General features: G+C 38.4%; 3 long non-coding RNA genes and 1 pseudogene across 18 annotated transcripts in view; 3 read left to right on the top strand and 1 right to left on the bottom strand.

Annotated features, from left to right (window-relative positions):
* Positions 1–11,808, top strand: part of LINC03075 (long intergenic non-protein coding RNA 3075) — a 27,314-nt gene extending 15,506 nt beyond the window's left edge. Inside the window, exons 4-10 of one of the 2 annotated variants that reach the window (XR_002956557.2) lie at positions 1,865–1,997; positions 2,071–2,228; positions 3,358–3,414; positions 4,947–5,107; positions 8,107–8,171; positions 8,305–8,395; positions 11,147–11,808. This is a non-coding gene — a long non-coding RNA (long intergenic non-protein coding RNA 3075). Of the gene's footprint in view, positions 1–1,864; positions 1,998–2,070; positions 2,229–3,357; positions 3,415–4,946; positions 5,108–7,768; positions 8,396–11,146 lie in introns of both variants that reach the window. The other variant, XR_001745219.1, reaches the window with a different exon arrangement.
* LOC101929050 (uncharacterized) lies at positions 6,065–24,629 on the bottom strand. Of its 15 annotated transcripts, none has more exons than NR_187720.1 (5): positions 24,394–24,629; positions 23,167–23,331; positions 18,484–18,622; positions 16,095–16,204; positions 7,525–8,566 (listed from the first exon to the last, which is right to left on the bottom strand). It is a non-coding gene; the product is annotated as an uncharacterized LOC101929050 (long non-coding RNA). The 15 variants fall into 15 exon arrangements; NR_187727.1 differs by lacking the exon at positions 7,525–8,566 and adding an exon at positions 10,827–11,047; NR_187730.1 differs by lacking the exons at positions 7,525–8,566; positions 24,394–24,629 and adding exons at positions 10,827–11,109; positions 23,901–23,989.
* VN1R32P (vomeronasal 1 receptor 32 pseudogene) lies at positions 7,695–8,611 on the top strand (annotated as a pseudogene).
* LOC124901641 (uncharacterized) overlaps positions 24,049–26,256 on the top strand; it is a 28,360-nt gene continuing 26,152 nt past the window's right edge. The window contains exon 1 of the long non-coding RNA XR_007060340.1: positions 24,049–24,229. This is a non-coding gene — a long non-coding RNA (uncharacterized LOC124901641). The remainder of the gene's footprint in view (positions 24,230–26,256) is intronic.

Raw genomic sequence — 26,256 nt, forward strand, 5'->3', positions numbered from 1 at the left:
GGATTACAGGCAAGAGGCACCATGCCAGCCAGAGTTGGTTCTTGATTTTAACATCCCAGTTGGCAAACTCTGCATGTTGATTGTTGAATACTTTTATATTTAATGTTTCTAAATTTTGTTTTCTACATGTCTCATTTTTTTCTTTCCTTAACTGCTTTCTTTTGCATTAAGTAAATACATTTTATCTTACATTTTAATATCTATATGGCTTTTTTCTTTGAGTTATTTAATTACTGTTCAGACTAGGATTTAATACATACATTTTAACTCATCAGAATCTGCTTCAGATTTCTTTTTTTACTAGAAGCATCTATTTATTGCACAGTTCCAGGTTCTTTCCAAATAAGCCACAGCCCAGTGCTTTATTCAGACATACGTACTGTCCAGCCAGTTTGGAAGAAGGAAAGAAAAGTCAGGCACAAATAAAGACACAGAAGTGTTGGGGAAGTGCACTAGAAACCATTTATTTCATTTGAAATGACAGAAGTTTGAGAGGAGGGGGCAAACAAATAAGATCTAATAAGTTAGCTGGATTTGTCAATGATAACATAGTGATAGTAGCTGATTATAGAGTGTACCGGGTTGGAGAAAGCAGGAAGACATATAATTGCAAACATTTGAAGTCTGCAGGGCAGGTGTTGAGTGTGGGAACTGTTTGCTTGAGCATTAGAGATGAAATGTGAGAGAGATACTTCAAAATGAAGCTAAACAGTTTGATCTAGTACCCAGGTAAAAAATGTATTGGTTTGTTAAAAGAAATCTTCACTTTAACACAAGATAGTGTTTGGTTAAGAAAGTGGGCCACAAATATGATAGTCATAACAATTAAGGTTAAAGTTAGAGCTAATTACACAAAGATGTGGCTAGTTGTTGTCACAAAATCAAAACTGAATAGTGTTTAAAATGTGGATGTTCTCCTGCTGGATATGTGAGATCCAGTGTCTCTTGAGTAGAAGGAACCGAGGAGACTGAAGGTTGGGGTTGACAGAACACATCACCATGGGAGGCATGGCCATTTAGAACTCCATGTCTAAATAAGCTATATTGCAAAGAACAGTGCCGATCCTAACCCTCGGTGTTGCTTAAATAGATGGAACCCTTCTGCCCTCCGTAAAGAAAATTGATGAAATAGGTGGGGGAAATAAGTGTTAAAATGCAGCCTGCATTCGAATTCCAATGCCAGGTACCCTGGAGCAAGGCTGTGTCACCTGGAGAACAGAGCATTATTTCTGGGAATGTCAGTCAGAGGAGACTTTTTTTTCTTTCTCAAAAAGGTAGTTATAGTCCAGCTGGGACCCTAAGGTCATTGGATTACAATAATTGTTTTATTTGAATGGCTATGGGTGACACAGGAGGACATTATGCTCAGTGAAAATAAACCAGGCACAGAAAGGCAAATAATGTATGATCTCACATATATGAAAGCTAAAATGTTGATCTCATAGAAACAGAGAAGAAAGGTGATCACCAGAGGCTATGGTCGGGGTGGAATGGGTATAGCAAAGATGTTGATCAAAGGGTACAGGTTTCAGTTAGGCTGGGGAAAGAAGTTTTAGTGATCTATTGTACTGAATGATGACCAGAGTTCTTAATAATAAATTGTATATTTCAGAATTGCTAAAAGAATAGATTGTTAGCAATTTGGTTAGGCGATATATTAATTAGCTTGACTGGATCTTCCTATAAATCAAAATATTACATTGTACCACATAAATATACACAATTACCTTTGCCAATTAAAAAAAGAAAATTATCAGGTGCAAGGCTTCCTACTGCTATAAGAAACTTCAGTATTTACTATGAAAACATTCTTAAGTCACCAGAGTCACACTGGGAAGACTGACATGACATTCTCATTACTTAGACAGGAGTGTTATTGGGAGAATCCTGTTTTGTTGACAAATACTGAGATCATCCAACTCACCAGGCAAAGTTGACTTGTGTAAGTGATCTTCAGATATGAAAAGTGTGGAACCCAGCTGCTCCTCCTCAGATAGGTAAGTTCACTTTTCCCTTTGGTGGCTCCTTTTTCCACCAATCTCAACATCTGCTCTTATCCTTTTTCTACAGGCGACATGACAATTGTAGGCCTGGAGGGAGATGAGTTGACAACATCCCTTCCCTATAACCACTTGTTGGATCTGATCTCACATACACAGACTCACTCCAAAGACTGACCTGGGTGTCTGCTTCTCAGCTTCATTAACAGTGGGTGCTCACAAGTCTAGGTGAGTGGTGAATCGAGATAGAATTTTATTAGCTAGTTGTTAGAATTAGCTCCTAATAATTTCAGTCTGTGGTTCATTGAATTCTAACTATCATAAGAAGGTGTTTCCAGATACAAAATAATTAATCTTATGAAGTAACAAATTTATAGATTTGTAGAAAAACATTTAGATTTTTGGAGATGTTCTACTTGAATTTGTATACATTTGACTTTTCTCAATATAATAGCTGAACTCTCAATATAATTAGCTGAACTACAACTTTCTGCATTTATGTGAAGTTTTAATTTGTAAACACAGAAATCTGAACTAATAAAATTATTTAGTCATACTTCTTGCTTCTTTAAACTTTGAAGATTGCTTTATATAATTCTGATATTTTAGAACTGTTTCAAATTAGGATGTTAAAAACACAAGATATGTCTAACATTTTACAGTAATAAGATTTTAGCAGATACCCAGATTCTTTTGTTTCATTTCATTATAGTAATTGCCAATAGAGATTTTTTTCTTGTGATATTAAAACTATCTGAAAATATAATGTTCTGCTGTTTATATAAATTTCTGTTGAGCTAACTACTACCTTGTATAAATGGGGAGGAGGTGATACTCAGTGTGCTTTGAAATCTTTTCCTAAAGTAAATTGTTTTAGTATGGTATTGTTTCTAAGTAAACCAAAACTTTAAAATACTCTGTGTATTAGTTTGGGTGAGGTTATTTCATGATGAGAACAATGGTATTAAAACAATGGTATTTTCTTATTATAAAACATCCTCTTGGTTTAGTATTTCTGCTTATACCTCTGAAGACTACCAACTGCAATGTGTTCAATAAAACACAGTCCAAAATGTGACAAGTAAATTTGGTTTTTAAAAACACAAATAATCATTGTCTGTATTCAGCAGGCATATCGTCATCAAGCATGTGTGTTTCTTTAAAGTAGAAAACAGAGAGGATGAAATCAGGATAAGTAAAACACAGAAAGGAACAAATGATGATAAAATAAATTTGTGGTCCATGTGGGCATCAAAATATTAAGGAACATACTCAGTGGACAATTGCTATATTTCTGAATATGAATGAATTTGTCTTAAAATAATTTGTGTTGAAAGCCCCTGTCTTCCATGCATAGTGGAGAGAATGTCTGAGAAGAGGAGGACCTTGACTGCTCCTGAACCGGAGACCTCAGGTACACAAGGCATGCCCTCCATTTTCCTCCAAATTCTCCAGTTGAATGCAATTGGTATGACTATGATCTTCTCATTACTGTGATGCACAGATATCTGATACTAAAACACCACATAAGCATTTTCACATAAGAATTGTATATTTCGCTGGTATCTTCTAGGTTGTGTTGATTACAAAAACACATTTCCAAACAGGTTTATAGGGTTTCCCAAAATTTATAACACAAGATTTGTGGTCAAACATTTTGTGTGTTTTTCTGTCTCCTACTTTTGCTTTTTTATTCTGTTTTCTCCTTTCCTTGGGAAAGCTGAGAATTAAATGTCTTTAAGTTATAATTTCCTTGTCAGCAGCATTGTGTTCCTAGCTGTTCCTACACTAATTTCAAATTCCAAGAAAAAATAGTAGCTGTTTTATCAGTTACTCACTACTGTCTCATGTTTATTATATTTATTCTTCACCATTTATGCATTTCATAAAGGTAATTTCATGGAATTAATCTAGATGGAAAGGTGTTTTCCTTCCTGCCACTGTCAGCTATGTTTCTCAGGTTGCCAAATATTGCCATTGGGTTAACAAACTCACCCTGGCCTTGTCACCTGAAAACTTCATTATGACTTATGCTGTCCAAGAACAGCAATAGGTTGTGCAATGCTGTTCATAGAATGTGGGAAAAATTTACAAGCAAAATAATGCCATTAATTAATACAATAATAAAGCAAAACACATACATAAAGGCAGAGTACAAAGAACTGTACTAAATAATATGATTTATAAGATGATAAAACTCTAAAATTATATTACTATAAATATGAGACAATATATTACTATAAATATGAGAAAATAGATTTTATCAAATTTTATTTTCTCCAAAATATTTTTTATGCATAATAGCACTTAGGATATTATAAGTAGCTTCTTACTTTTAACATGTTTTCCTATTACTTTGGATGTCTACATTAAAAAACTTTTGTACCTAGTCTATTTGATGGTGCTATTTTCTCCACCTTTATCTGTGCTTATGTTCCTGCTTTTGAATTTACAATATTAAGATAGCCTACAGTGAAGCCATAATACTAAGAACGAACTTTAACTGCATTATCTGAGTGCTCAGGAGCTTCACGCTTAGGCCAACAATCTGGTTGTCACTGCTAATAGTAAATGCTGAGATGTACATTCAGATTTATGTATTTTAAGGCAGCTGTTAGAGGCAAATTCTCCTTTATACTCTGACCGATATGACTTTCATGTTTTTTTCTATTTTGTTTTTATGATACTAACCATGTTATCTAAATTTCATAATTCTTTCATGGTGGGGTTTCCAGATTCACCAAATAACAATTCAAGTTGTAGTTAAGTTTGAAATTCAGAAAGATGACCGTAACTTTTTAGCATAACTATGAAATATTTTGCATACTTGAATGTAATAGTTGTATGTGATACTTTGGAGATACATACACCGAAGTAGTTATTCATTTTTTACCTGAAGTTTAAATACTATGTGTTGTGCTTTATTCTCTGAACTCTAATTCACAGAACCATGGTGCTCTCCTGTCCAGGCTGAACACTAATGCTCTTGAGAGTCACATTGAAGAAAGCCAACATTTTTAAATCTAATGGATACATTCATTTTGTGGTATGTGATGTTTAGAAAGAGGGAGCTAAAGTTAGTGGTCATGAGCTAAATACCCTGTGAGGTAAGAAATGAAAATATTAACATTATTATCTATGTTCTTTTATGTGATAAATTTTACTATTTTGGGGATATGACTTGTGATAGATGCAGTATATTAGTAAAATAATTCATATATAGTTACTAAATGATTACACATATATTAGTGGTTCGTGCCCAAATATTATTTTACTGGTACTGGACTGTGATTCTTAAAATGTGGAAATTATTGTGCCTTAATACTAATCTTACACTTGTTCCCACATAGCAGTAGAAGTCAACTGTGCTTAGCATGGTTCCATACGTTGGTAGTAATTATCAGTTATTTGGTTTTTGTATTAAAGATAAATGGATTCCTTCAGTAGATTAAGATGTAGGAAAAGTGTTATAACAATTTAACAAAATATACAATATTTTCTTTATATGTTCATACATATTAGTCAGTTTTAGAGCAATATTCTCCACCATATATGACCTTCTGACTTGAAGCCAAGAACACTAGCAGAATGTCTGCATTGAAAACATAAGTAAACATTCTTTCATCTCAGGGAAAGTATCTGAATGCCTATGCACTTTTCCATTATTTATTTATTGGTGTCATCAGCTAAACTGTTCTCAGCATTAAATTGATTTATATGGTTGAAATAGTAATGCCTGCATCTAGAAAAATAACATGATAATATCATTGCAAACTTATTCAGTGAAATTTTACAAAGGGTTCTAATGTGAAAACATCTTGATTAAACTTCAAAAAAGAATCTTTTCCATAGAAGATCTAAATATTTTTAAAGGCACAGGAGGCTATCCCTCCATTAAAATCTCAAGAATAGCATCACCATGTAAATATTTCAATACAACCTCACAGATGTCAAAATGTAAAGAAATATGGTGACTGTCTTTCCAAAAATTGAAAGCTAGATTTTAACAATTTTCTTGTGAGATGAAAATAGTTTATATAATGGATCTCTCAAATTTAAAGTAAATTAGAAGATGGCCAGAATAATATTTAATAAAAATAGTGAATAAGATCGGTGATAAACAGACTAATGCTTTTCCAACGGTGTCCACATCCTAATCCCCAGACTGCAGATATATTAGGTCATGCAGCAATGGGAAATAACATTGCAGATAGAATAAAGGTTATAGTCACTTAACTTTAAAGCAGGGAGGTTATCCTGGATTACTAGGGTGAGCTTAATATAATCACAAGGGTCCTGAAATGCGAAAGAGAAATAGAGAAGAGAAAGTGTCAGAGTGATGCTGTCTTATTAGTCCATTCAAGATACTATAACAAAATATCATAGACTGAGTAGGTTATAAACAACAGAAATTTATTATTCACAGTGCTGGAGGCTGAGAACTTCAAGATCAAAGTACTGGAAGATTTACTGTCTGGTGAGGGCCTGTATCCTAGTTCAGAGATGGCACCTTCTACATGTGTCCTCACACAACTGGAAGGGCAAGCCAGCTCCCTAGAACCTCTTATAGAAGGGCGCAGATCCCATTTATGAGGGCTTTTGTTGAAAATGTCCTAACTACTTCCCAAAGGTCCTACCTTCTAATACCATTACACTGGTGGTTTGGTTTTAACATACAAATTTGGAGAAAACAGAAACATGCAGGCTGAAATTAATGTCATGTTACAAAGACTCACTTGGACATTCTTTGTTTTCAGTTGCATGTTTTGGGGGTTCTTTTACCATTAGCATAAAATTTGCTTCAGCTCAGCCATACAAACACTTCTGCATCATATACATGCCTGTCACCATTGTGTGTGCTGAATATTAAACAGTGAAATACAGAACAGTAAAGCAAAGTTTTCTAAAGAGTAAGGCCAAGAACCGTAGGAGCATAGAAAATGAGTACATTACGTAGACATGATAGTGGATATGCTGGTGTTTTACATACACTACATCATCACTTAATATCATGATAGGTTTTAGAAATGTGCAATTTTAAGTGTAAAAGTTTGTTTTATTCCATAGAAACTTAGTACCTGTTGATATCTATTAGCCTATGGTTAAATTGGTTTCATGATACAGTATATCATTTTGATTAAAGTCAATTTTTATGAACCTAGTGATTACATTAAGTGATCACTTATGTATATGTATACATATGTTAGATATGTATGTATATATGTGTGTGTGTACATAGGCTGGGCATGGTGGCTACTTTCTGTAATTCTAGCACTTTGGGAGGCCAAGGCAGAAGGATTACTTGAGCCCATGGACTTGAGACCAGCCTGGGCAACAGAGTAAGATCCTGTCCCTACAAAACAAAACAAAACGATTATGCACAAACACATTATATATATGTTACTTGGCATAAAATTAATGCTGACTATATATATGTGTAATGCTGACATATACATTTACATATAGTGTCTCTCACACACACTGAAGCATTGTGCAAATAAATACATGTAATGCCGAAGGAGTATTTTCTAATAATTTATATTACATTGTAAGTCTTAATAATTGGGAGAAATAAACATAATCATAGTTGTGATAATTTTAACTATAGAACAGCACTGAAGATGTCTAAACTTGTTTTTTCAGATATACAAATATGTTTCCTCTTTGCCACTACAATGTACATATATATCATGTATGTTATTAAAAAGCTGCTTTGTTTTACAAGTTGCTGTTGGAATCTCAGTCAATACTTTTCTGTTCCTCTTCAGCATCTTCACTCTCCTTCTGTATCACAGACTAAAACCCACTGACTTGATCATCTGTCCCTTGCCCCTCGTCCACATAGTGAACTTCTTCATTGCACTGTTATTGCAGTCTCCAAATCTGTTTGCATCATTGAACTTCAGAATGACTTCAAGTGTAAGGCACTTTTCCACCTGAGCAGGGTGTTGTGGGGCCTCTCTATCTGCACCACCTGCCCCCTGAGTGTGTTCCAGGCCACCACCATCAGCCCCAGCACCTCCTGATTGGCAAGGTTTAAACATAAATCTTCAAATTACATTATCCATGTTTTCTTCTTCTTATGGTTCCTCAACTTGTCTTTCAGTAGTAACAGGATCTTCTACACTGTAGCTGCTTCCAGTGTGAGCCAGACAAATGTACTGAATATAGGTAAGTACTGCTCAGTTTTCTCCATGAGCTTCATCCTCAGGGCCACGTTTCTTATTCTGACAACACTTAGGGATGCTTTCCTGGTAGGAATACTGCTGTTCTTAATTGCATACATGGTGACTCTCTTATTCAGGCCTCAGAGGTGATCCCACCACCTTCACAGCAATGGTCCTTCCCCAGGAGCTTCCCCTGAGAAACGGGCCATCCAGACCATACTGCTGCTGGTAAGTTTCTCTGTGGTCCTCTGTTGGGTGGATTTCATCATCTCCTTCTCCTCAGCAATGTTGTGGGCATATGGCCCAATCAACCAGCAAGTTCAGAGTCTTGTAGTCAATGTCTATGCCGTGATCAGTCCTCTGGTGCTCCTCACTTCAGATAAAAGAAGAACCAATATTCTGAAAAATACACAACAGAAGTGTCATAGATTTAATATCAATTAATAATAAAAATAATTCTTGGAAAAATGAGTTCTTCTGCCATCAGTTAAATCATTCCAGTAGCAGATAACTTACTTTAATTAATTAAAATATGTAAAAGTATACTTTTATTATATCTAAATAATTTTGAAACTGATGCTGCCAAGAACTTGGGTGATTTTTTAAGTTTGATGTGTATGTTGACTGAAGTCCCATATGTCTTAGAAGTTTCTTACATTTCATTTTGATTTTGTAAAGTTTATACAAGGAAACTTTTCTGTCTTCTTGAGTTACATCGTTAAGAAGCTCACTGTTGGCCAGGCGTGGTGGCTCACACCTGTAATCCCAGCACTTTGGGAGGCAGAGGCTGGTGGATCACCTGAGGTCAGGAGTTCAAGATTAGCCTGACCAACACAGTGAAGCCCCGTTTCTACTAAAAATACAAAAGTTAGCCGGACGTGGTAGCAGGCACCTGTAATCCCAGCTACTTGGGAGGCGGAGGCAGGAGAATTGCTTGAACCCGGGAGGCAGAGGTTGCAGTGAGGCAAGATTGTGCCAGTGCACTCCAGCCTGGGTCACAAAAGCAAAACTCCATCTCAAAAAAAAAAAAAAAAAAGAAGAAGTTCTTATTGTTTATAAAAGTGTTTTACTTTATAAATTTGTTTAGGCTACCCTCATTCATAAAAGATATTTTAGCCAGGTATCCAGTATAAGAACAATAATAATTTTTCTCGGCACTACTTCTCTGCTCTCTGACTCTACACAGGCTTTGGACATTTTGCTCTTATATTTATAGGTGGTTTCACTTTTCTTTCTCACACTTCTTTTAGTTTTCTGCTTATCTTTAGTATTTTATAGTTTGTTACATTGAGTTGTATTTTTATATCTTTTTGGTATAGTACAATTACACATTTAAATATTTGTATATCTGATTTACAACTTTAGAAATTAGTAAATTGTTTTACTACTGTGATTCATTATTTTATGTATTCTAGTGAATTGTTTTTATTCTATTTCAATACACATAATTATACTCATATTTTTATTTATTTTTATTTTTATTTTTGAGATTTACTGACTTTTTTTTATTATTATACTTTAAGTTTTAGGGTACATGTGCACAGTGTGCAGGTTAGTTACATATGTATACATGTGCCATGCTGGTGTGCTGCACCCATTAACTCGTCATTCAGCATTAGGTATATCTCCTAATGCTATCCCTCCCCCCTCCCCCCACCCCACAACAGTCCCCAGAGTGTGATGTTCCCCTTCCTGTGTCCATGTGTTCTCATTGTTCAATTCCCACCTATGAGTGAGAACATGCGGTGTTTGGTTTTTTGTCCTTGCGATAGTTTACTGAGGATGATGATTTCCAATTTCATCCATGTCCCTACAAAGGACATGAACTCATCATTTTTTATGGCTGCATAGTATTCCATGGTGTATATGTGCCACATTTTCTTAATCCAGTCTATCATTGTTGGACATTTGGATTGGTTCCAAGTCTTTGCTATTGTGAATAGTGCCGCAATAAACATATGTGTGCATGTGTCTTTGTAGCAGCATGATTTATAGTCCTTTGGGTATATACCCAGTAATGGGATGGCTGGGTCAAATGGTATTTCTAGTTCTAGATCCCTGAGGAATCGCCACACTGACTTCCACAATGGTTGAACTAGTTTACAGTCCCACCAACAGTGTAAAAGTGTTCCTATTTCTCCACATCCTCTCCAGCACCTGTTGTTTCCTGACTTTTTAATGATTGCCATTCTAACTGGTGTGAGATGGTATCTCATTGTGGTTTTGATTTGCATTTCTCTGATGGCCAGTGATGAATTATACTCATATTTTTATTACCTTTTGTTTATCTGGTGATATTTATTCTTCTAAATATTATAATTCACTATTATTTTTGTCAGTTCAGCCTAATGCCAAACACTGTGCATTGAATTTATTTATTTTTCAATTGTTCAACTTCTTTGTGGTTCTTTTCCAAATATGCTTGTTAAGTTTATAGTTTCTTGCTTTGCCAAAATATTTTCATTTTCTATTTTTTACCATTTACTTCACTTAAGCATTTTAAACACATTTTCAATATCTGAATTTTATGTGATGTCTAGTTTCTTCTAATTCTTCATCTTGGTAGCTTCTTTTGTACTTCATAGTATGTGAGAAATTATAATTTAAAAATAATTTTGGTTTTGTATTTGAGAGATTTTGTACAAAATAACTTTAGTCAGTACTTTTTTTGTTGTTTATTCCAAGAAGGTAGTTGAATAATCCCCAAAGCCTGAGGTCCCTGTGATCATCCAGTACCTGGAGGCGGCACTGGCTTCTCACTTTGATTACTCCTCTGGGTTGTTCTTTTAATTTACTTCTTGTCCTGGAAGGTTCCATGTTTTCTATTAGCTTTGGTGGGTATTTTATGAATTCTTGTAACTTCTGAGTATTTTCAGATGTCTGCATCAAATGAGATTTGTAAATACATTTTTGTTCTAAAACATCAAATATTCACCATGCATCTGTAAGTAAAATATTTCACATTGATATTTGTTGCAGAATAATGTCTCATTGGAAATCTCAACATTCTTCATTTAGAACACCACCGCCAATATCTACCATATGCCGGGATTATTGTGCAGGGTAATTTTTATTATTACTTGAATGTATATTTATATACTGCAGGAACTATACATGTTTATGGCTAGAATTACTGTTTTTCCTTAATATTAAGATAGTATTGGTAGATTTAATTATCTGAATTTAGTCATTTGGCTCCAGTCAAAATGGTTTCTCCTTAGCAGTACTCTGACTTTGTAAAAGTAATCACATTTGGATTCTGTTTCCTCCAGTAGTTTTTAAAATGATTTTTTTGATTATTCATATAACTTTTTTTTAATGATCTTTTAAAAACTAGTATGTGGTTATATATTACTTGTTACACTTTTTGTTTTCTTTATTTTTTGGTTGGTTACACCTTAAATGATTATTTCTATTGCCTTTTAATGTTACTTAGAAAATATCACATGTAAGACTTTTGCTTTTATAAAGTTAGTAATACATTTTCAAGCCTAAACTCTTGAAATTTTAATAATTTCTATGATATTTGAAAATTATTTTTATCTTCTTTTGAGTGCTAAAAGATAATATTTGTCTACCTGATTAACTAGCACAACTTTTAAAAAGTTATTTAGCACTCTTTATATTCATTCATTTGTTTTCTACGAGAAAACTTCTTTCTCTGATATTTGTGTGTTTGTTTTAGAGATGGGATCTCACCCTGTCACCCAGGCTGGAGTGCAATGGTATGGTCATGGCTCACTATAACCTCAAACACCTGGGTTTAAGCAGTCCTCCCATCTCAAACTCCCAAGTAGCAAGGACGACAGGTGCATGCCACCATGTCTGGCTAATTTTTAATTTGTAGACATTGCCCAGCCTGGTTTCAAACTCCAGGCCTCAAGTTATCCTCCCACCTTGGTTTCCCAAACTGTTGGATTATAAGTATGAGCCACTGTGCCTGGCCTCTAGAATGATTTTAATGTCACCTAATATTTTTATAAAGGTATAAATTCCTCACTTACATGAAAATTTGGGTTACACATTAAACTCTTTGTTATTAAATATATACATACAAATGGCTTGGAATTGTGCCTAAAACATCATATATCCTAAGTATTAACAACTCTGGAGCTCAGTACAATGGCTCACACCTGTAATTCCAAACACTTTGAGATGCTGCTGTGGGACTGCCCACAGGAGTTCAAGACAAGGCTGGAAAACATAGTGAGACCCCATCTCTAGAAAAAAATTTAAAAATTAGCCTGGCATGGTGACAAGTGCCTGTAGCCCCAAGCTACTCAGGAGGGTGAGGTGGGAAGATCACCTGAGCTCAGAAGTTTGAGGTTGCAGTGAGCTATAATTGTGCCACTGCACTCCAGTCTGAGCAACAGAGACCCTGTCTCTAAAAAATTTTAAAACAACTCTAGGCCGTGTGTGTTGGCTCATGCCTGTAATCCCAGCACTTTGGGAGGCTGAGGTGGGCGGATCACAAGGTCAACAGTTCAAGACCAGCCTGGCCTACATAGTGAAACCCTGTCTCTACTAAAAATACAAAAAATTGGCCAGGCAAGGTGGTGGGCACCTGTAATCCTAGCTACTCAGCAGGCTGAGGCAGGAGAATCGCTTGAACCCGGGAGGTGGATGTTGCAGTGAGCCAAGATCACGCCACTGTACTAAACAACTCTGATATATTAGGTTTTTATCTTTTCATGCCATTCTTAATTTACCATGTCATTTTGTATATGTTTTTCTTGAAATTTATATTCCTGTCCCGTCTAAATATTGATTAAAAGAGAGGTAGGCACAAACTTTTATTTTGGTTACATTTTGCAAAGTTCTCTAATTTACTTTAGATGATGGGTCCCATCTACTTCATGAACATATGTGAGTATTAAGTACAACAAGTACAATAATCTCCTCCCTACAACAGAGGACCCTGAGACACTAGGGAAACATGGATTGCCAAAATCTTTGTCTTTCCACATTATTCTTCCCTTTACTTTTTATTGCAATGAAAATATAAAAAGATAGTATGCTACAAATTAGAAATTGATTAGTGGATAATATGCATACGTTATTACAGTAAGTTCAAGAATAAGTAGAATATATGAATAGAACCAAAACAATTAGAGATTAAACTTTTTCTATGAAGAAAAGCTCAGTAGATAGTTTCACTTGTAAATTTGACCAAATATTTAATAATGAGTTAAAACCAGGTCTTTTAGTTGACTGCCCCACAAAAAAACAAAACAAAACAAAACTGAATAACAGAAGAAACTTACCAATTCATTCCATGAGGCCAGTATTGCCCAGACAAAAGTCAGGAAAAATCACTACGAGACTATAGACTATTATCCCTTATCCATATTGACACAGAAATCCACAAAAATAATAACAAAATAAATGTAGCCACAAATGAAAATTATTGGACACCATTACCAAGAGGGGTATCTCACAATACAAATTTAACATTCAAAAATCAGTCAATATAATACAGCTTAATAAAACAATAAAATATCAAAATGATCATTCTGAAAAACACAGAACATTTGACAAATCTAGACCCGTTTATGAAAAAACCCTAACTAGACTAGAAACACAAGCAAAATTTTTACACCTGCTATAAGACATCTATTAAAAACCTACAGCTAATATCATGCATAATGTTGAAATCTTGGGTTTGAGAACGTTAGTTTGGAAACAAGACAAGAATATATTTTTACCACTTCTATTTTAACAGTATACTGGAGATTTTGGCCAGAAATATCATGGAACAAAAATAAATTCATGACCTTCAGATAAAGATCGGAAGCCTATTCAGATGACATCCTGTATATAAAACTTTCTAGAAAATTCGGCCAGGCGTGGTGGCTCACGCCTATAATCCCAGCACTTTGGGAGGCCGAGGCGGGGGGATCACCTGAAGTCAGGAGTTCGAGACCAGCCTGGCTAACATGGTGAAACCCCGTTTCTGCTAAAAATACAAAAAATTAGCCAGGCGTGGTGGTGCGCGCCTGTAATCCCAGCTATTCGGGAGGCTGAGGCAGGAGAATTGCTTGAACCCAGGAGGCGGAGGTTGCAGTGAGCCAAGATCACGCCATTGCACTCCAGCTTGGGCAACAAGAGTGAAACTCCGTCTCAAAAAAAAAAAAAAAAAAGAAAAGAAAGGAAAAGAAAAAAGAAAATTCACAAATACCCACTATAATAAATGAGTTAAGATTGCATGATTTAAAATAATATAAAAATATTAATAAAAATTCTATACACTAGCAATGAACAATCTCAACATGACATGAAGAAACAATTCCATTTACAATAGTTTCAAAAGGTAAGGCTGATTGTGGTGGCTCACAACTGTAATCCCACCACTTTGGGAGGCTATGGCAGGAGGACTGCTTGAGGCAAGGATTTCGAGACCAGCTTGGGCACACACAGCAAGCCCCCATATGTACAAAAATATTTAAAATCCATGGAATGTGGTGGCATGCACCTGTAGTCTCAGGAGGCTGAGACTGGAGAATTGCTTGCACTTAGGAAGTTGAGGCTGCAGTGAACCATGATTATGCCACTGAACTCTAGCCAAGTTGACAGAGGCAGACACTGCCTCAAAAGAAAGAAAAAAAAGAAAGAAAAAAGAAAGAAAGAAAGAAAGAATTATCTGCAGAAGGTTTTAAGGCTCTGCTCCAAAATTATAAGGACCTACACCAGGCTTTATGTATAGCAACCTATCAAAGATACAACAGCATTCCTATCTCCCAGTCACACCTCAAAAACCATTGCATCTGCAGTCATATGGCACAAGTGGCAAAGTAGCTTGCATTGCACTCTGGACTTTTTGCAGGCCTTCTATTATTCTGTGCCCAATTTAAAAGTAGCAGTTTTCCATTACATTCATTGAATGGGCCACGGTATCATACTCAAACTAGGAATGGGTTTCTCATAACCCAAAGAAACCTGCCAGCTCTTGCGCCTTTTTTTGATGTAGGAGAATGTATACGTAACCACTTTTTCTTCATTCTAAAAGGTATATTATAACATGCCCCATATTATTGGACTCCTAGAAATATCACTAGCACAGAAATGAGATCAAACAGAGACCTCTTGTGGGGGCCCATGGGCACACAACCATAAAAGTTAAAAACAAAAACAGAAACAAAGAAAAAACAAACAAACAAAAACTTCAGTTTCTTTACACTGTGAACAAATGTACATTAAAATGTTGTAATAAAACAGTGACTAAAAGTAACTAATGTAATAATAGTCAAACACCGTGATGCCATGTCTGAGACTCATAAATATTTTCAATTCCATGCTAGCAACACTAACTTCAGGGGACACGCCCCTAGCACAGCAGTTGTTAACATACAGTTGCTCTGTGTGCAGTAGCAGTGGCCTGTCTTAGGCCAGCAACATCACATACATACATACATCTTCTTTGTCAATACTCTAAAGCTTTCCAATTCAGATATGAGATACTTGCTTGACTGCTTAAGCACATATGTTGTAACACACAGTGCATAACGAAAAAGCTCTTCAAAATTTATGGTGTGAAGAAAAGTAAATATCCTGAGTTGTTTTTCATTAATTCAGTGTTGAAGGAAGCCTTGTTTCTTCTGTATTACACATGTGAAGTACAATTTTGATAAATTTATTAGTGGTGAAAATATCATTTAAGGAGGAAAAAATGATATAAGTTGAATGATAACACACACATATTTCTGGCTTAGAATTTGAGGAGGTGGAGGTGGAATAATGTCTCTATTTTTGGCAGGAGCCTCTGAGAATAAGTGCAATGGGTTAATAAGGCGGAAGGGCCTCAGGGTGCTAATTTCTTCTCCCTTTGCCCAGAAATGAGCTGTGACATCACTCAGGGCTTTCTCCTTCACATGCTCCCTTTCTTTGCGATCTGCTGACGCTCTCTGTGACAGAGCTGTTTGGAACTTACCTTGTGACCCCATTGTGAGCTGCTAGCTCCCATCTCCCCATCCAGAGAGCAGCTCCTAGTGCCGATCCCCAAGTGCAGGGTGCTCTGAGTTTCTGTCCTCCTTGACAAACCTAGAAATGGGAAAGAGAGATTTCAGGGTGGGACTTGAGCCATAATTGATCCAGGGTCAGTCTGTGGCATAAGAGCTGCACCTCAGCCTAGAGCACATGCCCAACATGCTCGTCACCAAATGTTCAGTCAAGGACCCTCTGGGGCACACTGTCTAGGCTGACGTATAGCCCTTTTGATGCTTTCTTCTTGAATGTATTTACCACAGTCCCTGACTCAGAATAGTGCTCAATAAATAGCATGTTTCCTCTTTTTCCTGCCAGGGAGTTAAAAAAAAACAAACAAACAGCTACATGGGAAATTATAGAAGAGAAAGAGGTTTATGATTGAAGTGAGGGTCAGGAACTTTTGTGGATGAGGCAGACTTTAGCCAAGATTTGAAGGAGAGATTCATTCATTCATTCAACAGATGCTGCAATATACCTGATATGTTTCAGGTATTTTAATGAAATAAGAATAGGGCTGGGCATGGTGGCTCACGCCTGTAATCCCAGAACTTTGGGAGGCCGAGGCGGGGGGATCACCTGAGGTCAGGAGTTCAAGACCAGCCTGGTCAACATGGCAAAACCTCGTCTCTACTAAAAATACAAAAATTAGCTGGGCATAGTGGCGTGCACCTGTAATCCCAGCTTCTCAGGAAGCTGAGACAGGAGAATCGCTTGAACCTGGGAGGTGGAGGTTGCAGTGAGCCGAGATCATGCCACTGCACTCCGGCCTGGGCAACAGAGAAAGACTCTGTCTCAAAAAATAAAAATAAAAAAGAATATAACAGTGACCACCATCACAAGGTGTTCAATCTAGTGAGGCCGAGAAACTTCCCCCAAATCATCACACAAATATAAACTTCATGAGAGCAAACTCAATGTCCAATAGGAAAATGGTAAAATTATGAAATGTTCTTTTGATTTAATGTTATATAGCTACGGAGGTTGTTTCAAATAATTATAAAATGATCATAAGAACTGTTATATTCTAAAAGTATGGTATAAAAGTACAGAGTATAATTCTTATTTTATAAAAAATAAATGCATATTTACCTCTGCATGGAGGTGGTTCTATGTCACACAAACCTGTGGTTATTTATCCCTGGTGATGGGATTAGAAAGCATAGACCACATTCTCTTAAAAGAGTAAGGCTGTGGCCAGGAGGCAAGTAGATTTGTTTTTCCACTGTTTGAATTTGCAATTAGATACTCTGCATGCTTTAAATGTAATGGAAGTTGTGATATATACTCATATTCTCATGGTAGGTTGTTCCATTTTGGTTTTGATGTTGGGGAGGAATAAGGTGAAGGTCCCTGTGGACTCTTCTTGTTCAGTGGCACACGTGTGGTCCTGGGGAAAGCCGTCACACAGTGGGCGCTGAAAAATGTGGCCTATGGCCACGAATTCCCTTTCAGTCCCTGCCTAAGCAAGATTCATCTTCCTCTGCCTCCTTTTTCATTTCTTTTCTTCTATTGTCTGGTATTTTTGAAGATAAAAATTTGTTTCCAAAGGGGAAGTTCCAGAAATTCTTCCAAGAATAATGATGGAAGTTTGATTTCCAAGTGAGTGAGTATTCCTGGGCAACTGATTAAATCCCTTTGTCAATACTAAAAATCTGGCTTGTTCTGGATTAGTTCCACCATCTCACCATGATAACTCCCTCTTCTATAATCCCCACCAGAAATGACTGCTTTGCTTGAAAGCTTTTCCCTGAGAAGTCAGTGGTGTGTTACTCCTTTGTCAGCTTAAAAAAAATAATTATACATTTCTGGGATTTTGTTTTGTGTCCCTGTGTTTTTTTAAGCAACTGGTGTTTTCAAGCCAAAAATTAGAAGTATTATGGAAGTACTGATGATGTACTCAGAGGAAAACAATAAAGCATATGATTTATTTGTTATAAGATGTAAAAGTTCTAGAAGATTTTCCTCTGATTTGTAAATTTTTTCCTCTCAAGAAAGTTTTTCCTTATGTTTTATAATTTCTTTATTTTAAAGACCTGCTGGGTTACTTAAAGTATGATAGTTCTGTTGGTGGAGTGAGGATAATGCTGCATTCAACCTGCCTTTTGTGGCATCTTGCTTACCCTACTTTGCAGAACAGAGATACCAAGAATCGGCCTTATGAAGCTGGGGCTATTTTTGCATTGTGATTTCAGAGATGCTGAAAAGACCTCTGACTGATTTCCTAATACTCAAAATGATACAGTAAGGGACTTGGGAGTTTAGGTCTTAAGACTTTTCTTCATGAGTTTCTGTTAAAATCTAAGATAAAAAGTAGCTGCCTTGAAGAATCTTACCAGGGTTTGCTGCCAGCCAACTGAATGACTTATTGGAGAAAGGACTCATGACTCCTGGGCCTGAGGGACAGGCAGACAGGGAGATGGCTTCAGCAAGGATTTTCCACAGGTGACCCTGGTTCTGCAGTGACAGAAGCTCCTGTTGCACAAGGTTGTAAAATTATTCAGAAAGAGTAGGGATAATGCACCTACATTTTACCTGCTTTCAAACTCGTTGACAATTTACTTCTGGGAATTATTTTTTCTCTTCTCCAGTTAATTTATAGTCTATCTCATTTCTTGTCTTTTCTGCCAACCATTGTATTTTTTCAGGGACAGTTGCGAGACATAAACTATGATTTCCTATCAGAGTGCTTGTTACAATTCCGTTCTACTTTTCTGTGAAAATGTGCAACCTTCCAACTCTCAGTCATCATCTTTCCCCTTTCTCAATTCTTATTTTGCTTCTTGCAAGTGTTTTTCTTTTCTTTTCTCTCTCTCTCTCTTTTTTTTTTTTTTTTTTTTTTGAGACGGAATTTTGCTCTTGTTGCCCAGGCTGGAGTGCAATGGTGCGATCTCGGCTCACCACAACCTCCACCTCTTGGGTTCAAGCAATTCTCCTGCCTCAGCCTCCCAGGTAGCTGAGACTACAGGCATGCGCCACCGTGCCTGGCTAATTTTGTATTTTTAGTAGACACGATTCTTCTCCATGTTGGTCAGGCTAGTCTCGAACTCCCAACCTCAGGTGATCTTCCTGCCTGGGTCTCCCAAAGTGCTGGGATTACAGGTGTGAGCCACCATGCCTGGCTGCTTCTTGCAAGTTTTTGAACATGTTAGTGAAGAAGCAGTTGAGTCATTTTGTGAAATAAATTTCTATTTACAAACACAGCAAGATGACACATTCATGGACTCCAAACATAGGTAGAGCTGTCCCTCCTTATTTCTGCATTCCTGGATTCAACAAATGTGAATCAAAAATATTTTAATAAGGTTTCTGTACTGAACATTTACAGAATTTTATTTTTCTTTTCACTATTCCCTAAACAACACAGCATAACAACAATTTAGGTATTAAAAGTAATCTAGAGAAGATTTAAAGTATGCAGGAGAATATGCATAGGTTATATGTAAATACTATGCCATTATATATAAAGAACTTATACATCCATGCATTTTGGTATCCAAGAGGACTCCTAGAACAAATCCTCCAGAAATAGCAAAGAAATATGATAAAGAGTTTACAGTGTTCATAAAACTCTAGCTGCTTACTAGAACAACAGTTCGATGAAATAAAAGGCAGACTTGAAACTGTCCTTGGCCTGTATGGCTTGGCTGGCAGCCCCTGGCTTGCATGCCCCTTCTAGCAAGATGCACGTTAAGGCCACTATGTGCAGCTGAGGGAGAGTCAGGTGGCTCTTCACCAGGAGCAGATCGCATCCTTCTTTTGTCACATTTCTGCCTCTTAAGAGTGTCATGCTGAGAGGCATGCCTTCTTGATGCAGAAAAGAATTTGTTGGCAAGCTCTGCCAAACATCTGTTTCCATGTACTTCCTATGTACCCACAGTTGCAGATCATGGGAAATTAGATAGTTTATCAAAAATAGCTTTCACTTTTTAAAACGTTCCTTTTTAGTTTTGGTTGAAAAAGACAGAAGACACAGTCCTAATTTCAGAAATGAAAGAGGATCTATCATTACTGATCCCATGAAGAATTAAAGAATAATAAAGAAACATTATAAACCACTCTTTGCCCACAAATTTGGTAACCCAAATGTAACAGACAAATTCTTTGAAAGAAACAACCTACCCAAACTCACACAATAAGAAACAGACAATTTGAATAGTACTACATCTATTAAAGAAATTGGGTCAATGATAAGTAACCTTACCAAATAGAAAGTACCAGACCCAGATGAGGTAACTAGTATATTTATGCAAACATTTAAGAGAAATTATTCCAACCCTCTACAATCTCCTCCAGAAAACAGAAGCAGAGTGAATACTTTCAAACTATTCAATGGGGCCAGGATTACCATAGTGTCAAATTCAGACAGAGACGTTACAAGAAAAAAATGCAGGACAATATCTCACATGAAGAAAGATGCAAAAATCCTCACCAAAATATTAAGAAATCAAGTCCAAAAATGTAAAAAATAATTATATACTGCAACCCAGTGAGATTTATTACAGGCATGCCAGGCTGGTTCAACATTTGAAAATAAATTAGGCTAAGTGTGGTGGCTTATACCTGTAATCCTAATGCAGTAGGAAGCCAAGGAGGGAGGATCACTTGAGGCCAGGAGTTCAAACTAAGCCTGGGCAACATAGCAAGACTCTGTCTTTAAAAAAAATTAGTTCATCATATTAAGTTTTAAAAAGATAAGATTTCATCAGTACATTCAGAAAAATCATTTGACAATATCCAAAACCCATTCATGAGAAAAACTCTCCGCAGACTAGAAATAGAGGAAAACTTCCTCAATTTCATAAATAATGTCTATTAAAAAAACCTGCACCTGGCCGGGCACAGTGCCTCACGCCTGTAATCCCAGCACTTTGGGAGGCTGAGGTGGGTGCATCATGAGGTCAGGAGATTGAGACCATCCTGGCCAACATGGTGAAACCCCGTCTCTACTAAAATACAAAAAAGTAGCCGGGCATGCTGGTGCGTGCCTGTTGTCCCAGCTACTTGGGAGGCTGAGGCAAGGAATTGCTTGAACCCGGGAGGCGGAGGTTGCAACGAGCTGAGGTCACACCACTGCACTCTAGCCTGGTGACAGAGCGAGACGACATCTCAAGAAAAAAAAAAAAACCTGCATCTAACCTCATACTGAATGTAGAAACACTAGATTCCTTCCTGCTAAGATCAGGAGCAAGGCAAAGATGTCTCCTCTCACCATTCCTATATGATATTATACTATAAGCCCTAGGTAATGCAATAAGACAAGAATAGAAAAGGTACATAGACTGGGAAGGAAGAAATAAAACAGTCTTTTTACACAGATGATATAATTGCCTATGGAGAAATACAAAAAGATCACAAAACAAAATCTTAGAATAACCAATTTTAATGAGCAATTATAGCAACTTTGCACAATATAAGATTAATATACAAATGTCAATTACTGTCCTATATATCAGTAATGTAATTAGAATTTGAAATTTAAAAATTCAGTGACATTTATGCTAGCACCAATAACAATGAAATTCTTTAGGTACAAATATAAGAAAATAAATATAAATATAGAAACCATATGAAGAAAACTACAAAACTGTGAAAACATCAAAGAAGATCTAAATAAATGGAGAGATAATCCACATTCAAGTAAAGAGGGATTCAACGTTGTTAAAACGTCAGTACTTCCCAACTAGATCTACATATTCAGTGCAATCCCAATCAAAATTCCACAAAGCTAGTTTGTGGATATTGACAAACTGATTCTAAAGTTTATATGGAAAGGTAAAAGACTCAGAATAACCAAGAAAATATTTTAAAAGAACAGTTATAGGAATGACACTACCCAACTGTAAGCACTACTATAAAGCTACAGTAATCAAAACACGGTACTGGTAAAAAATAATAGAGAAACAGATCAATCAAACAAAAGATAAAGCTCATAAATTGACCCATGAAATATAGTCAGCTTATCTTTGAGGAAAAAGCAAAGGAAATTCAATTGAGAAACAATACTTTTTCAACAAACAGTACTGGAACAACTGGACATCCACATACAAGAGAAAAGAAGAAAAAAAAAAACCCTAAACCCAGACCTGACAACTTTCACAGAAATTACTAAGAATGGATCATAGACCTATATAGGAGGAAAACTCACAAAACTCCTAGAAGATAACAAAGAGCAGAATCTGAATTACCTCAGGTTTTGCTCCTCTGATAAAACACCAGAAACGCTGGGGGCGGTGGCTCATACCTGTAATCCCAGCACTTTGGGAGGCCGAGGTGGGTGGATCATGAGGTCAGTAGATTGAGACCATCCTGGCCAACATGGTGAAACCCCATCTCTACTAGAAATACAAAAATTAGCTGAGTGTGGCAGCGTGTGCCTGTAGTCCCAGCTACTTGGGAGGCTGAGGCAGGAGAATCACTTGAACCTGGGAGGAGGAGGGCGCAGTGAGCTGAGATCAGCCACTGCACTCCAGCCTGGGTGACACGGCGAGACTCCATTACAGAGAAATGAAAATTATAAAAAGAATGGGATACAGAGATAATGAAATGAAAAATTAAAAAGACCTTTGAGTTTATAAACAGAGTAGAAACAGAAGACAGCAATAGAAATCATCATCATCCAATCTGAAGAGTGAAACAAGTTTGAAGAAAATGAAAAGCTCCTTAGAGACCTGTGGAATGACTGAGTCCGAGAAGGAGAGGGAGAGACAGAAAAATTAAATATGATACAAGAGCAAATAAACAACTCATAGCTGAAAACTTGCAAAATTTGGTCAAAACCTCAAATTTGTATATTCAAAAGATGAGCACACTTCAAAAGAAAATACACATAAAACCATACCAAGGCCCTATTAGAAAACTGGCAGGGCAGGGTTTTCAAGGGACTTGCTATGATTTCTCATTTTCACTATTTATAATAATGGACAATATGCTCTCCTTAGAGTTTTCTTCCTGCAGAAAGTCTGATATGTCAGGTGCAGATGACTCTTTAGTCTATTTTTCAAGGTTTAATTTCTTACCTTGGAAATCAATTAAATTTGTTTTTTCAAAATTTTGCAGTAAAATTGATGCTCCGAAAAGATGCCCAGGGAGATTCTGTCCTGCTGCGTCCGCCCTGCACAGAACTAACGCTATGCCAACGCCAGTTTCAAAAGCGTGTAGTTGTGGAGTACTTAAGAGTTAATCTAAAAAAGCGAATAGAAAAATGGATTCAATAAATGATCACTGTTAAGTTCCATCGGCAAAGTCTTAAAAGTGGTTCCAAAGGGAGTATTTAATAAGAGGTAAAGATTTTTCCAGGGCACCCTATTCAGAGCAAAAACAAAGACACTGTCCAAACCTCACCACACAAACTTCCTCATGTGTTGGGAGGAACCAAGGCGCTCTCTGGTCCTGCACCTGTGTTAGTTATGGCCGGGAGGTCTACACTAGGACCCCAAGGCCTGGGAACCAGCCTGGGTGGGGGACAAAGAAGTGGTGGATGTGGCTCGCAAAGTAGTTTAGGTGGTCCCTTCCCCGTGGCAGTTTCCTGACTGGATGCAGCAGGGTCAGGCCTTTCCCCTGGGACATTTTCTCATCGTTATTATAGTGGCAGGAGCGCCCCTGTGCGAGGCCTGACCCAGGTGTGGGCCATGCAGCCAGCCCGGGGTCCAACAGGTGCATCTGGGGAGTACAGGGGGATTCGTGGCAGCCCAGAGAGAGAGAAAAAGGTGGTTTTCAAAAGGGAAGTGCCAGGTTACCAGAGACTGGGTACCTTCACATGAGGCAGTGAGTGAGCTAATAGTTTCGGACACTCACGAGGGAGCTTCCCGCGCTGGACCAAGGGGAGCACTACGCATGTCTGAAGGGGTGTGGCCAGGGGAGGGACAATAAGAGGACGTGGCTAAAACGAGTGGCCCTTCAGAGGGAAAGGGCGGTGTCGAGCCGGCTGCTGGGGGGGGCGGGGGCGCAAGCGTTACCATAGCAACCCTGCTGCAGAGTCTGTGAGAGGCTCTTGGCCTCTACCTGGTCTGTGGAAAATCAAACTCTGGGCACAAGTCATGAAGCCAGCACGTTGGGGAGACACCGTGTCACAATGACAAGGTGAGATCAGCCGCCCTGGCCAAGCTGTCTCCTCGCGGGCAGGAGAGGTTTGTGAACAGCCAAGCTTCCCTCCGCACGGCGGAACTGCACTGGAAGCCTGGAGGAGCTCGGTGGAGGAGGGACCTTTGCTGGGAATGGGGGGAGCTGTAGTCTCTTATCCGCACCCAGCTATTAGTCGTAGGCTCGCAGGACTACAATCCCAGCACTAAACAGGATTGTGAGCGGTGCGGATCCCTGGAGGGAGACATGGCGCGGTTTGCTCCTGCGGGGTATGCAGGCAGGAGTAGTTTTAGCCGCTTCCGGCCGTTGATCGCAGGCGATCAACTACAATCCCAGCATGCAACGGGAGTGGGGGGTGGTGCGAATGCCTGGAGGAAGGGGCCGCGTGGTGCGCGCCTCGCCAGGCATTCTGGGAGTAGTTTCTTAACCGCTTTCGGCTGTTGGTCGCAGGGCTACCGGCCTACAGTCCCAGCAAGCGCCGGGCTGCGGGGTGGTGAGCAGTCCCGGAGGGAGGCGCAAGCCGTGTGGACCTCTCTGCTTCCAAACCTATGCTGGCCACTGATTCTGTGCCATCCCTGGCTAAGGGGAGTGAGTCCAGAGAGGGACTTAAGGGGCAAGTCGGGGCTGGGCAGTGAGAAGAGTGTGACGCTGCGAAGTGCACCTCATCTTTGCCTAAATCGGGCGGGTCTCAGCCTCACCCCACCTCTCGCTGCTCAGCTCGGTTTCCCTCCAGAGCATCACGCCTCCTCCAGCACAGGAGCCGCCTGCTTTCCTAGGCTGCTGTGGAACTGGCCTGAGGTCCCAGACGCTGTCCATTGTGCTGCCGCCCTCCGCGCTCTCCAGCCAGAGCGCCAGTTCACCGGCTTTTGGGAGAACTCCGCCGCCTCACCTGCCCGCGGACAAGGTCACAGCTTTGCAGGGGGTTGACATGGGCTGTGGCTTCCTGGAAATGTCACCCTCACCAGAGCCTTTTACATGGATGTGAATTTTGAGACATGAAGGAGGGTAATTATTGGTTTACCCAGGAGATGCTAAGAGCAGAGGAGAAAACCCTAATTTCCAGGCATGTGACTTGAGCCAGGGACAGGCTAGCCAGACCCTGAGCCCCCAGTGCCGCCAGAGAGCAGCCTATTGCCCTGGTTTCTGTGGAAGTCTCTTCATGCTGCTGGGCCTTAGCCTCAGGGACAGCTCAGTCAGGTGAGGGTGGGGATGACCCATGGGCTTCTGGAGCTGGGCTGGTGGTCCTGGAAGGGCCGGCCCATGCCCCTTGGAGAGGGTCTTTGTGCTGAGGGATGCCCACAGAGGCCTGGGTACCAGGAACACTGCTCCAGGCAAGGGGCCTTTCTTCCAGATTTGGCTGGAAGGAAGACTTGGTCAGCTTTTCCACCTTGCAGGGCTGCACCCCATGGACCTGGGTTCCTGGAGTCTTTGACGGCTTTGTGTGGTCGACTTGTTTTGATACTGAGGACACCCCTGCTGGCTGTTAATTTCAGGGCAAGGGATATGAGGCCATTATTTTAAGTGAAATAACTCAAGAATGGAAAATAAAATACTATTATTTTTCACTTATAAGTGGGAGTTAAGCTATGCGTATGCAAAGGCATACAGAGTGATGTAATGGACTTTGGAGACTCAGAAGCAGAGAGTGGGAGGTGGATGAGGGATGAAAAAACTACCTATTTGGTACAATATAAACTACTCAGGTGACAGGTGCACTAAAATCTCAGAATTCACTGCTATATAATTCATCCACGTAACCAAAAACCACTTGTACTGTAAGTGATACTGAAATAAAAATTATAATAAAGCAAATTTATAATAAAATTAAAATTATACTTACATAATTATAATATAAACAAAAATTATAATAAGGAGCAGCTTTTTTTTTTTTTTCTTAAAAAGAAAAACCCAGTGCCACAGTTTTGGGTTCTAGTGTTTTGGATAGAAAGCCCCTTTTGCTCAGTAACACACTCACTACTGGAGAAGCAAAATCCTGAAAATTCAAGAAGAACCTTGGCATAAACGAT

Source organism: Homo sapiens, chromosome 7 (assembly GCF_000001405.40).
Source record: "Homo sapiens chromosome 7, GRCh38.p14 Primary Assembly".
Lineage (NCBI taxonomy): Eukaryota > Metazoa > Chordata > Mammalia > Primates > Hominidae > Homo > Homo sapiens.